The 14389-nt window shown below is 38.5% G+C and overlaps 1 long non-coding RNA gene across 1 annotated transcript in view, besides 1 other annotated feature; it reads right to left on the bottom strand.

Annotated features, from left to right (window-relative positions):
- Window positions 1–14389, bottom strand: part of OBI1-AS1 (OBI1 antisense RNA 1) — a 562471-nt gene that overhangs the window by 209219 nt on the left and 338863 nt on the right. The gene's annotated exons all lie outside the window — the stretch shown is intronic.
- Window positions 4904–6227: an enhancer, noted in NCBI's record as "VISTA enhancer hs915". NCBI's record gives its function as "enhancer in: midbrain (mesencephalon)[8/8] | limb[8/8]" and the evidence as "EXISTENCE:transgenic organism evidence [ECO:0001131][PMID:17130149]".

Here is a 14389-nt window from a genome sequence, read left to right as displayed (position 1 = left end):
ATTTGTGCATAATAGATACTTGAGTAAATTAATGATTGCCTTTGCCCTTTAAGTAAAACCATTCTATAGTTCATTAGGACAAGTAAATCCAGTTTAGTATATTAACAGCTGCTAATTGCTTCAAGGTTATTACTGCCTAGCTCACATTAATATTAATAATGATAATTCCTACCAAGTGTACAAGATTTTATAACTTACGAGGAACTTCAACACCTATGACAACAGTTAATCCTCATTACAATCCAGTGGGATAAGGATTCTATTATCCCCGTTTTACAGATATAGAAATTTATGCTTATAGAAATTAAGTGAACTGCAAAATATGGAACAGAAACCTAGGGCTTCTGACTACAGGTTTGTGCCCCTTCTGGTGTCTTTCTGAAGCAAAACATGTCTTGCATGAAATCAAGAGGTGTTTTCTCAAATGACATTTGTGGTAGAAACCCTCATATACAATATTCATTGACCTTAAGGCATTTTTCCTCAAATGAGAAAGTCAGAGATAGGAGAAAGAAAAAGTCTACAGGATTTGGGTAGTAAGGTGTTAGAGAGAATGAGGGAGAGAGAATTAAAACAGAGCCACAAATTGGCACTTTGGTGCCTGGAGGTGTGTTGGGGGAATTGATAGGGTAGATGAAAACTTGGACACGCATCAGGGCTGTGGCTCACCAGGCCCTCTTTTTCCTGCTTCTGTGGTTGTGGATACCTGTGTTGAGATAGAACTGAACCCTGAATGATTCCATTGTTCATAGGTCCTGTCACATGAGTGAGAATTAAATACAGTTGTTTTAAGCCACTGTGACTTTGGGGCTCTTAGTTTCTACAGTATAATCTCAATTCTAGGCCACCCTGACTCATAGATATCTGAGGAGAACTCTATAGGCAGTTGGTTGAGCTAGAAAGCAATTCAGGTTCTTGATTTTACCCTTTGATTAATTTCGTTCTCTCTCCTCCCCATTGTTGTGGGTGAGGGCCCTGTTTGATTTATAAAAACAGCAACCCGAAATCTTGCTGGCTTCTTTCTCATCCAAGCTTAGGAGCTGAAAAGACTTATTATCTAATTGTTAATGGCACAGAGTAGAAAGATCTGGGATCTGAAGTCAGAAGTCCTAAGTGACATCCTTGGGTCTGTTTTCCAAAGCTGTGTCCTAGGCAAATCTCAGCTTATTACTACTCTATCAACTGGGTAATACTGGGTAACTTATGTGGTTGCAAAGAGCCAACAAGCTATTATGAGTGAAAGTAGTTTGTAAATTTTAAGATGCTTTATAGATGCAATTATTAGTATAAGACCAGCGCAAAGGACAAAAGTAAGAGTAGCTGCATGTAAATATCTACTTAAAAGCAGTTATATATTTAAAAAATCAAGATGTGTTTTTTAAAAAATATTAAAATCAGAAAAACACATTACTGAGCACACATCAGCTAGTGATAACCACTTTTGAAAATAATAGCTCTCGCTTGTTGAGCATCTGCTATGAGCCAGGCCTGTGCTACTTGCCTTGCATCCTTCAATTTCAGTATAATAATGATTGCTATTTACTCTCTGTCACTTACTTTTATATAAAAACAAAACACATCTTTAATTTAGGAAGGTACAGAAGAGCTGATTCTGGTTGTGCATGTTTTGTGTTGTTTACTTTTCCCATAAATCTACATATCCATGGTTACTAAATCTTTAAAATGATACCAAAAAGGAACATGCCAGGACTCACTCCTGCTATACCCAATCCATCATATCTTAAGAGTAGCTCCAAGAGATAACTTATGGAAGAGAAAGGCTGTTAGCAAGGGTCAGTACTAGGGTAAAGCAATATTGATGCCCTGGGGCACAACGTTTTAGGGAGCACTCATTCTCAGTTGCATAGTCTGAGAGTGAATGTCTTCTTAATATTGTGCCCTAGGCTCCAGCCTTGCCACTTCTTATTCCTGGCTATGTTCCCCCTATTGTAACCATGCCAGAAATTTAGCAGAAAAAAATAAATTCCCTAAAACATCCCATTATATATGTAACAATTTCTTTCTTGAAAACTGATTAAAGCCACTATATAATTTACACAATATTTAGTACAATTGTAAGAGGATTTGGAATTTAAGGAAAGTAAGAGTGAGTATGACAAATTTTATAATAGACCACTAAGGCAGAACCCACTTAAAAAAATGCTGCTGATGATGGAGATTAGCGCAAAGCACACGTCTACAGTAACTTGGACCAAAGACCCAACACAAAGGAACTTTTTCTGAATGCATCCTAGATATAGGTCTCTACTGGACAGAGACTTCTTTTCAGTCTCATTCTGGGATTTCTATAGAGAAATAAACTCACTTGTTCCCCTCATTGTTAGACCACTCTATTATTTTGGAGGTTAAATGTAATTGTTTTCTTACACTTTTCTGTATTTTCCTCTTCCTTTTTCTTTAATGAGTGTGCATTACCTCACAATAAACACATTTGCAATCAAACAACAAATTGAACCTAATCTATTATTGGTGGCTTTTGGCCTTCAAATGACTATTTCACACAGGTCCCTATCCCCCAGCCCCCTGCCTGAATCCCCACATTCAAATTCTCCTTCAGTTTTCCAGGACTTCAGCCTGGCTCCCACCAAAGGCCAAGTCTTCCCCGTGTGCTGTGGAGTCCATGTCCTTTTTACTTCTCTCCTGTGATTTAAGTTTTTCTCTTTCCTGGATTGTTGCTATCAACATGCACACAGCTCTCTTCTATATTTAAAAATCTCTTCGTGGATCTCATATTCCTAGTAATTGTCGGTAAACACTTTCTTCACTTGCTCATCTCCCATTCTCGTCCCACCCAGGCTTTCTTCTGGCCCCACACATCATTGAAATGGCTCTTGTCAAGGTCACGACTGACCTCCATGATGCTAAATCCAATGGACATTTGTCTCTTTTCATTTTATTCAACCTCTCATTAGCATTCAACGCTGCTGGCTGCTCCCTTTTTTCTCAAAACATTTTCTTTTGTTTCCAGTGTCGCCCTCCTTCATATTCATGTTTTGTTCCCCTTACCTCACTGGCCACTCAGCTTCTGTTTCCTTTGCTAGCTTCTCCCTCTCTGTGGCTCTGTGTAAGAATCCTGGAACTCTGTTTTTGCTCTAAGTACACTGCCTACCATGGGTAATCTGCCAGCTCATGTCTGAATATCAACGGCTGCTTTCCTATTTTATATATTTAGCTCTGGAGTCTCCTTTAATGTCCAGACTCATATGTCCAACTTCCAACTTGACATTGCCATGTGAATGCCTAATAATTTACTCACAATTTCAATGTCCTGTATAACAAAACATCAAACTTATCTCTAAATCATATTTTGAACCCAGGGGCTTAGCCTGGGTGGTAGCTTCTAGAACACACAAGTAGACTTCTAAATGGTCTCATTGCTTTAATTCTTATAGTACTACGCCTTTCCACTTCTGTTTTCCAGGCAGGAGCCAAAGTGATCTTTTTGAAACTACAAATTAGGTCATCTGTTATTGAAAACTTTTCAGTATCATTTTGGTCTCATCTTCAATGTGACCTCCTTGCAAAGATGGTCATTCCCTAACACCCAGATTAAAGTAGCCTTTCAGTCACTCTGTCACATTACCCTACTTTATTATCATCATTGCATTTATCAATAACTGATGGTCTCCCATTTATTTGTAAGCTCCATGAATATAGGGACATTGTTTTGGTCATTGCCTTAGCCTCAATGCACAATGTATGTCACATAATATGTGTTCAAAGATAAAGAAACAAATGAATGAATGGATTTATTCCCCAACATCCATTGCAATACATCATGACTTTCTTTGGCTATGTCTATGTGACAATACTAGCTTAGGAGATTTTACAATTAATTTGGGTAGATTAATCTTTCTGCAAGTACCTGGAATAATTTATTTGACTGCTCCATTCATGTCTCTGTGAAAGGCTGGGGGTTTTACCCAGCTGTAATTTACTTCATGCATGTTACATGAAGGCCAAAAGAAGGGCCATCTTTGCAACGCTCTTTATAATCATCATGCATAATTTGGCATTCTTAAAAGAAAACATGTAGCACTGTGGTGGTAAGAACTTTTATTTTGCACAAGGTTTTGATGTCTTTACTTTCCACTTGCTCACCTAAATATTTTGAAAATATGATGCTAGTCATTCCAATGTATGTACCAGATGTATGTTCTCAGATAAATTTTAGGCATGACATGTATGATATTCATCCTGGAAACAACTGTCTATTTGTAAATTCTCTTTTCCTCATTATATAACCAAAGAACATATAAAACCAGAAATTGGCTGGGCCCAGTGGCTCACACCTGTAATCCCAGCACTTTGGGAGGCCGAGGAGGGTGGATCACAGGGTCAGGAGTTTGAGACCAGCCTGACCAACATGGTGAAACCCTGTCTCTACTAAAAATACAAAAATTAGCTGAGGGTGGTGGCGCATGCCTGTAATCCCAGCTACTCAAGAGGCTGAGGCAGGAGAATTGCTTGAACCCGAGAGGCAGAGATTGCAGCGAGCCAAGATGGCGCCATTGCCCTCCAGCCTGGGTGACAGAGCAAAACTCTGTCAAAAAACAAAACAAAAACAAACAACAACAACAAAAAACAGACAGCACAATGACATCACATAGCCTCAGGTGAACTAGACCATAATAAGCACTGGAAGATGGTTTCTATGCAAGTATACCTCAACAACTCAGTTTCAAGCTGAGCCTCAAAGCACCTTGGTTTAGTGTTTACTGTAGACATGAGGAGATAATGTGAATTTCCATACTCTAAATGTAAGTGCAATCTTATTGTGTTACTATTTGGCTATTTCCCCTTAGCCTCAGCTCTGATGTATAGGCGGCTTTAGTAAGAGTGTTTCCAAGGAGGTTTATGTCTCAGATTCATAGAAACTTCCTCTTCTGAAGCCCCAGCTTAAGATCCCTCCCCTGTATAGTTAAGAGTTTAAGCTAAGTGCCAGTGAATGCCACATTTTTATCACTGTTTTGAGTGACTGTTGTTTGGCAGAGGGCACAGGCACAATACATCTTTGTCTTCCCTTAGCTAATAACCCAGGGTGTAGTAGGCCAGCCATGCCTTTAACATTTACTGCTGCTACATTTGTCTGTGTTGTATAAAAACCATGCAACAGCCTGGCTCTGCTCATTGTTTTCAGAACCTTGACTCTCCTTACCATTCTCATCATCCAAATTTATTTAAGGATGAAACTATTAGAAACACAATTGGTGAATTAATGTCATAGGGACTGCTGCTGGCAGCTCATCAATTTTTGATATGCCACTCAGACAAATGAAACATAAGCCACCCAGAACAAGGGGACCTTTTGACACTTCAAAGGAAACCCCTATGGGTGGTTTCCTCTTGAAGCTACACTAAACTGGCTCGATCTCCTCAGCTGGAAGCTGCCAATGTCTCATTAACCCCTAAAAAGGCCCGGCATGAGCTTTTCTTTTCAGCTATAATTATGCCACGCACTCCTGTTATGCTGCACTGAATCGCAACACTGTCACCAGCACATTATAAACATCCACCCTAATTGAAAAGCAGATTAGACTCTTGTGTTAATTAGCCAAAAAGCCCGCCCACTTGCATGCATTATGATTGCCTCTTAAATACTGAGGATGTTGAAATCCCTCAGAAAGACAAGGCAGACTTAATTGCAATAACCTGCAAATTAAGTTTAATTTACTTTAAATTTACCGGTTTAGCAGGCTCATTTGATGGTGTTAATGTTCTAGCAAATTAATTATCTGAATTAGTCATGCCTGGTGGAGTTTTGCAGCAGAATACATTGTACAGTGGCCTGTTAATAACAGACAAACAGGACAGGATTAATGAGAAGATTATGCTCAAGTTCTTAAAAAAAAAGGATCTTGCATGAATTCAAATATAATCACCAAAGTGCAAATACAGACACAGAATATAAACAAACTGAGATTTATTACACTCTATGGCATGCCATCCAGGAGAAACAGTAAAACATGACTGGTGAAATATCAGACAGCAAGAGCCCTATTCCATACACTCCTGTGGATCTCTCCTAGCCACAAACTGTTTCCCGTTAGTGAGCATATGTGAACACCATGGTCAGCAACCGAATGCCTTAGACAGGCAGTGGACTGCAGAAAAGGACTGGAATGTCACTTAGAAATAGCTTCCTGTGGCTAGTTCTATTGCCCTTTTAGTAATGTATAAAGCTTTCAGATGTTTTCTGGAACCCACTTTAGCTATCTCTTAGGCTAGATCTGAATACTATTAGCCCAAATAATCTGAAATAATGATTATCTTGCTTCCCCTCTTATCTTTATCCCAGTAAAATCTGTCCTGCTTGCATGTGGGAAATTTGGCCAGGGTGGAGAAGAGGGGGAAGAAGAAAAATAGGAATGCCGAATATTAGAGGAAATTTAGAGCATCAACATCTTTGTAGAAGCTTCTACATTTATTCCTCTCTGAGGATAACAAGTGTATCTTATTTGTGTTTGTATCTGCCAGGTGCTAGGACACAGCCTGGGAAATGATAGAGGCTTAAAAACATTCTAATTTTTTGAATGGATGAAACACAAAATTAGCTTAGTGACAATTTCAGAAGAATTACTCAGCCTGGAGGATATTGTAGGGGATTCCTCCTAACAAATATGAAGCCTCTCTGAAAATTCTGTTTCAGTGCTTCTATTGTTATAAATAGTTAGGCTTTCTCCATTTGGTTCTGAAGAGATGCACACAAGCTCTCTTTCCGCCATCCACAGCAGAAAGAAATAGCCTCTGGGTGTCAAACTAATAATCTTTGGCTGGCTCGAACTGAATATGGTCATGCAGTGATTGACCTCAACATGCCAGATTATTGATTGGGCTGGAGATGCCTAAGCCATCATTTTCTTGGAGCAGTCACCGCTTTTGTCTTGATCCCGTCCACAGCTGTCACACTGTGGTGAGCCATTGAAAGAGCCCAGATTTGCATCCTTCATGCATTTATGCCTCTCTGCTTAAAATAAAAATGCCACCACTTGAAAGGCTGAAACATTGATTCTGTTTTTTAAAAAATTATCTCATTAAAAGCCAAGGATTTGGGTTTAGTTGGGAGTGGAGAGAGACACGCAGAATATGTTAACTTGCTTTATTGGGCATATTTAATTTTGGGGGAAAAATAATGAGAATAAAAATTGTTTCAATATGTTTTCTGTATTGTGTCAATATATCACACAGCTCCTTTCTGGAGTCACATTTGCTGTTAGGGTGGTTGGGTTTTTTTGTTGTTTTTGTTGTTGTTCTCTGTTGAATTACAATTTGCAGCAGTAAATGAAACTGGCACAAAAGCAGGTGTTATTAAAACTGGGCAGAAAAAGGACAATAACAGCATAATTCCACTTTAAAGACCGATATGTGTATGGTTGAAACGACTTTGGTTGGAACCCATAGGGAATAGAAAATACACCATAAAGAAAATGGATTTCAGTGACACATAAACAAAAGGCAAATGACTAATATATTTACATATAACATGTGGTGTATTCATTGCACACCATGGTGACAGAATTGTTTATTTCATTTATAATTTATACAGCAAAACCTTATTAAATGTGTAACTAGTTTGCCAGATGATAATATACGTAGGAGATTAGGCTTCTATTATTGAATATCATTAACAACAAAAGATTTTCATTTGTAAGTTAATTTTTTTCCCAGCCCTTTCTTTTCTGTACTGTATGCTTTGAATGGAATCCTGCCTGTCTTCAATCATTATGATGCTGTGGTAAGAAAAAGGTAGCAGTGAATTTCTGGAGAAGAATGCTCACTGGACAACATCACTCCACCTCTACTATGTTCCCTAGAATATCAGTCTTCAGAATATATAAGGCATAACTGATGGGTGTGTATAAATCCATGGTAATTTCAGAGATTCTAGAAAAAGTCTTCTCTGGCAAACAACATTCTGTCCAAGGCCAGAAAAAACAGAATCTGGAAACAGACAAAGATTGCTTTAAAGACTCAAGGGTCCCTTGAGAAAGTGTTGTCAAGAGAAAGATTCACTGTGTTGTCTCTCTTCGGATGGACCATCAGACTAGAGGTTTAAGAAACTTCCAGTCACCAAGGTGGTAATATATGTAGCGCAGAGTGCAAGCCATTTGGCATTTAATCATCCTTCTCCGGATACTAACTGAACAGGATTTTGTTTCTTCCAACACAACAGTGTGTACAACTTCTTGTGTGCTATCTGTTCCTCTCACATACACAAAATACTCTGTATTAGTTCTCATGATTCATTTTCAGACTAAGAAAAGGAAACCCCACCTTTAAGATTTTCCTTCATGCAGTGTTATTTAATGAGGATTAAACAATTTTAGAATGATTGCAGTGAATCTCATTTCAGGCCAGGAGAGGGGTGCTTATAAGGGATGGTGGGATGAGCGGAGTTTGGGAGGGGGGATGAAAGTGAGGTGGCAGAGAAATGCTTTTAAACAATAAAATGTATTTTACTTTCAAGCCTGGAGCTGTCAGGCTTCATTTCAAATAATGTATCCTGACAGTTCATAGCTACTCTTAAAAACTGGGCGAAGCTTTTGCAGTTGCAAACTATTGTGATAAAACATGAAAATACTTTATTCAGGTAAAGTGGAAATAGCTGTTCAGTCTGGTTAAGTTACACAGAAACCTTTTTCTCTCTAAATTAATGCACTGTGCAAATGTCTTGCCTGTGACACCATAGCTGTCCACTTAATAAAAACCCTTCCAGTGAGAACTGTGTCTTAGTGCATCAAAGCATTAGTGAGTGTTCTGAACCTAAAGCCCGATAAACTTGAACATTCAAAACCGGCCTATGAGGAAGTGAATCTTAGTGTTGCCTATCATAAGTGAAAAATGAAAGAACATGTGTTTATTCAGTCTCTATTGTTGGCATGGGAGAAGGCAAATAACTGCTGGGTTTTGTTTTTGGTTTTTGAGAGACTGTTTTGCACATTTTCCCACTTATTAGTTCAATAATTGCTCAAGATGGGAAAAAGTAGCTCAAGGGGACCTTCCTTGGGTATGCAAGCACATCAAAGTAACCGAAAGAAAAATAAGGAAAAGAAAGAAGATAGAAAGAATGAGGCTATTTTCTTTGATTAAGACTCAAAGTAGTGTGATGCAACTGCTGCTAAGAGCTAAAGAGTGTCTGGGTTCAATTAGCAGATGTATGGAGTATAGAATCTAGGAGAAGATAATACTGCTCAGACCACATCTGGACTATTGTGCTCAATTCTCAGCCTGAGACTACTCGAAATTAACTACTATTTAGGCAAGAGCAACAGGGCTGGTAATAAAATATAAAATTATTTTACATGGGGAACAATTGAGAGAATGGAAAGTATTTCTCATTCAGAGAGATTAAATTCTAGCAGAAGATGGACAGTCACTTGGAGGGGAATCCGCAAAGGCTTTACAATAGTGTTTTTATTTTCTCCACTGAATAATAATATTGCTAATATCATTAGTAATAGTAATAATGATACCTGATACTTGTCTAGTGCCCCCAAGTTTACAACCCTCTTCTGATAAATATCATCTCATTTAATCTACCCAACAGCTTGAGAAGAAATTATTGTGTTCTGTGTTTCACATATGAACAAATGAATTCAAGGTGGCTCAGCTATGTGCTCAGGAAGTACAAATAATAAGGGAAAGTCTTGGGACTCCTGGTTTGTTGACCCCCAAATCACGATGGGTAGCTGGACCATATTATTAAAGTATTCTTTTCAATATTCAGTTTTTATGATTTTAATAAACACAGTACTTTGGGAAAATTCTCTTCTTATTCATCTATGTATTCAGGCAAATGGTTATTAATAAGTGTGATAACTGGGCTGTACTGAGGCTACCAATACAAAGAAGGTGTGGGCAGGTCCACTGAGGATCTTGTCCAGTGAAGGAGAACCAAGGAAATAGATAATTACAATGTCATGGGAGGCATGAAGAAGTGCTGCAGAGTCTTAAAGGGACAGTTAACCTTGTGATTGGTGGAGGGGAGGTAGGAAAAGCTTTACAGAGAAAACTACATTCATGTGTCAGGAAGGCTGGAAAGAAGAGAAGAAATCAGGGTGCTGGGGGCTGGGAGCCCAAATCCTCAGAATTTGCATTCTCTGTGTTTATTTGTGCCTTTGTAGGATGACCAACTCCTAGTCTTCCCAGGACTTTCTTGGTTTTAGCAAGTCCCACATCCCATGGAACTCCTCAGTCCCCTGCAAACCATGGTGGTTGGCCATCCTAATTTACCAGGTTAACAGTAGACACATGCAGCGGAGGTACAAAGTATATGAAGCGTTCCAAACAGAAGTGGGCTTTGAGAGTGTAAAGGATAAGACACGACCTAAGTATATTTGCTATTGCTAAAATAATCACTTTGGTTTCATTTTTTTGTTCTACTGCCAAGGTGAACTCTGAATGCTCAGTTGATTCCAACAAGAAAAAAAGAAAAACAAAAGTCTGATTGATTCTAGATTGGTTAGTTCAATAGCACTAACCAAATTTGGCCTTTATCACTTAGTTCCTTTTTTTTCTTTTTCTTTTTTGATTAAGATATTATTCATACAAAATAAAACATACTGATTTTAAATGTACAGTTTGATGAATTGTGGTAACTGCATAAGATGAGGTAATCATAATCAGGATATAACACAGTTCCATCAGCATAAAATGTTTTCTCTTTTAAAAAATTTCGACTTTTATTTTAGACTCAGGGGGACACAGGTGCAGATTTGTTACATTGGTATATTGCCTGATGCTGAGGTTTGGACTATGATTGATCCCGTCAGCCATTACTAGTACTCAATAGAGAATACTACTCAATAGGTAGTTTCTCAGTCCTTGTCTCCTTCCCTCCCTCCCAATTTTTGGGGTCCCCAGTGCCTATTGTTCCCGTATTTGTGTCCATGTTTAGCTCCCATTTATAAGTAAGAACATGTGGTATTTGGTTTTCTGTTTTTGGGTTAGCTCGCTTAGGATAATATCCTGCAGCTGCATCTATATTGTTGCAAAGAACATGATTTTATTCTTTTCTATGGCTGCATAGTATTCCATGGTGTATATGTACCACAATTTCTTTATCTAATATACCACAGATAAGCACCTAGGTTAATTCCATGTCTTCTCTATAGAATCACTTAGTTCTTAATACCGTAGGAAGGTCTATCGGTAGAGGTAATATTTGAAAAAGAACCAGCAGAGCAAAGAAACTGGGAAATAAATTTCCAGGCAAAAAGACATCCCCAGTTCCTAGAACAGTGTCTGGCATATAGTAAGTGCTGATTAAATAATTTTTGAAGGCATGAAAGAATGAAGAACTTTTCATGATTTGCAGTAGACTCTGGTCAGTGGAAAGAATGTAGTGGTAGGCATCTCTCCTAGGACAAAGGACAAAAGAATGCCTAAAGTCCATTTCCCAAATTTTTTCTAAAGTTAGGGCTCAAAGATAAATTATCTTTTTGGCAAATAAATAAGATAGTACATAGGGGGCTACAATAAAACAGATTTATAATTTGGAAACAAATATATAAAATGGCCATTTTTAAAGATTTGAAGTAACAAAAAAATTCACAAAAAAGTGTTGAATATGTATCTATAGAAGTTTTCTGCCCTAGAAGATGTATATTAACACGAGAGATTTGGGAAATACCCAAGCCCTGTCAAAGTGCCTTAGTTTCGGCTGCTGTAACAAAATACCATAAAATGGCTATAAACAACAGGCAGCTTATAAAGAACAAAAATTTATTTCTCACTGCTCTGAAGGCTGGAAGTCCAAGTTCAGAGTCCCAGCATGGTTAAGCCATGACTAGGTAAGGGGCCTTTTCCATTCTGCCACCTTCTTATTGTATCCTTATATGGCAGAGGAAGAGAGAGAGCTTTGGTCTCCTCATCCCCTTAAAGGGCATTAATCCCATTCATAAGAGCTCCACCCTCATGACTTAACTACTCCCCAAAGGCCCCACCTCCAAATACCATTGCATTGGGGATTTAGGCTTCAACATATGAATTGTGAGGGCAAACAAACATTCAGTCTACAAAACAAGGTTATTAGAAAATACATTTAAGTCTGAAAGGTAGGCTTGCTAAAGAAATAGATTAACTCCTCTCTATCCTCAATAGAGAGGATCCTGGAGCCATGGTCCACCTAAATGGTGATTCTAGTGGAGATGATGTAACAGTCCTTCAGCATTTGCCAACTACCACCTTGGCTCTGATTTCACATCACTATTCAGTTTTTCCATGAACATTTTCCAGGGGTAATTGACTAGAATCACACTAGACTAACTTTGTGAGGTCAAGAACTGTATCTGTCCTACTTACCTATCTGTGCTTCTAGCGTAGAGTGTATACAAAATGGAGCTCAATATTGGTTTAATAAAATGGATATAGCTTTGTTTTTACTTTACAGCCCTTCTCTTACATGTTGGCTTATCATTGATCAGCTTTGAGTAATTGGAGATCTTGACTTTGGAGTGTTCTGTCAACCTGAGAACCAGAGTATTATGGGCTGCATTGTGTTCACCCTCCCACCTCATCCATATATTGAAGTCCTAACCCCCAGTACCTCAGAATGTGACTGTATTTGGAGATAAGATTCTTTTTTTTTTTTTTTTTTTTTTTTTGAGACAGAGTCTCGCTCTGTCGCCCAGGCCAGACTGCGGACTGCAGTGGCGCAATCTCGGCTCACTGCAAGCTCCGCTTTCCGGGTTCACGCCATTCTCCTGCCTCAGCCTCCCTAGTAGCTGGGACTACAGGCGTCCGCCACCGCGCCCGGCTAATTTTTTTTGTATTTTTTTTAGTAGAGACAGGGTTTCACCTTGTTATCCAGGATGGTCTCGATCTCCTGACCTCATGATCCACCCGCCTCGGCCTCCCAAAGTGCTGGGATTACAGGCGTGAGCCACCGCGCCCGGCCGAGATAAGATTCTTATAGAGGTAATTGAATTAAAATGAAGTCATCGAGTAGTTCATATTTCAATATGACTGATGTCTTTATATGAAGAGGAGATTAGGACACAGCCATGTATAGAGGGGAGGCCATGTGAAGAGACAAGGAGAAGATAGCCATCTACAAGCTAAGGAGAGAATCCCCAGAAGAAACCAGCCCAGTTGACACCTTGATCTGGGATTTCCAACCTCTGGAATAAAAAAATAAATTCTGTTGTTTAAGCCACTCAGTTTGTGGTGCTTTGCTTTGGCAGTACTAGCAAACGAATACACAGCTGCCCATCTAGGAGGAGGTGCCACCTTCCTGGCATTTCTTTGACATTTCTATTAATTCATGGAACAAATGATGGCTATGACAAGCCATCTGAGAAAAGCCAAAAAAAGGTACTGCCAGATCTATTTTCCAGATAATCATATTGAGGCTCAAAGTGGTTTGAAGTAAAATTAAACATGCAGCTTGCTTGGCTGTATTGTCTTTTAAGTCTGTTCTTCAGAACATTATCCCTGGAAGATCAGTAGAAAAAAGAACTCTATGATCCAATATATTTGAAAACACTATATATTCTCTCTTCCCCTTAGTGATTCATGCAGTCTATTAGCATATTACGGACTCTGATACTGTATTTCAGAGGGCTATTTAATTTTATTAAGTCTAGTATTTACCAAGTGTTTTTGATCAGAGAATTTATTTCCTATAGTGTCTCCTAATATTTAATACAATGAATATTCTATTGAAAATATTTCAGTAAATGCTTAACTATTTGCATTGGTGTTCCAATCTGTATTGCCAAATGGACATCAAATTCTATTTTGGCAATAAAGTACTGACATTATTATTAGCCAATGAGAACATCGGCTTAAGTGGCTCTCAAATAAATTGATGACATATGTTGTCCCCCTGGCCAAACTGCCCTGTCCATCCTTATCCCCTTGGTTATATTTCAAAATCCTTCTCAAGTTTCACTTTCTTTGTATAACCATTCTTTACCCTTTCTCCTCTTACCCCCTACCATAAGACATAGTCCATCACACTTTTTTCTGGATTGCATTCTGGTACATGTCATTTGTATAGATTTAATTATGTTTTGTATTGTATAGATTTAATTGCATTTTTATTTTTCCTCTTAGATTGAGAAACTCTCGAGGGCAAGCTGTGTGTCACACTCATCTATCGCTGGCACAGAGCAAAGTGTCTGACACATGGTGAGTGCTCAGTGAAGGGTAACACAGTGAATTATTTCCTGGTCTGTAACCAGTCCTCTAGTGCTGTATCAGCTGGACACACTATCTTGTCTACCTTTTTAATCATATTAAAGTCATAGAATAAAAAAATTTTTCAATAGAATGTTCTGGAAAAAAGTACCAATACCTTTACAATATTAAACTCAGCAAGCTGTATTGAGCATGCACTGAAGCTAGTGATGATCAGTTTTTGAAT

This window comes from Homo sapiens, chromosome 13 (genome assembly GCF_000001405.40).
Source record: "Homo sapiens chromosome 13, GRCh38.p14 Primary Assembly".
Taxonomy (NCBI): domain Eukaryota; kingdom Metazoa; phylum Chordata; class Mammalia; order Primates; family Hominidae; genus Homo; species Homo sapiens.
The sequence above is the reverse complement of the archived record's forward strand: the minus strand, read 5'-3'. Positions and strand labels throughout refer to the sequence as shown.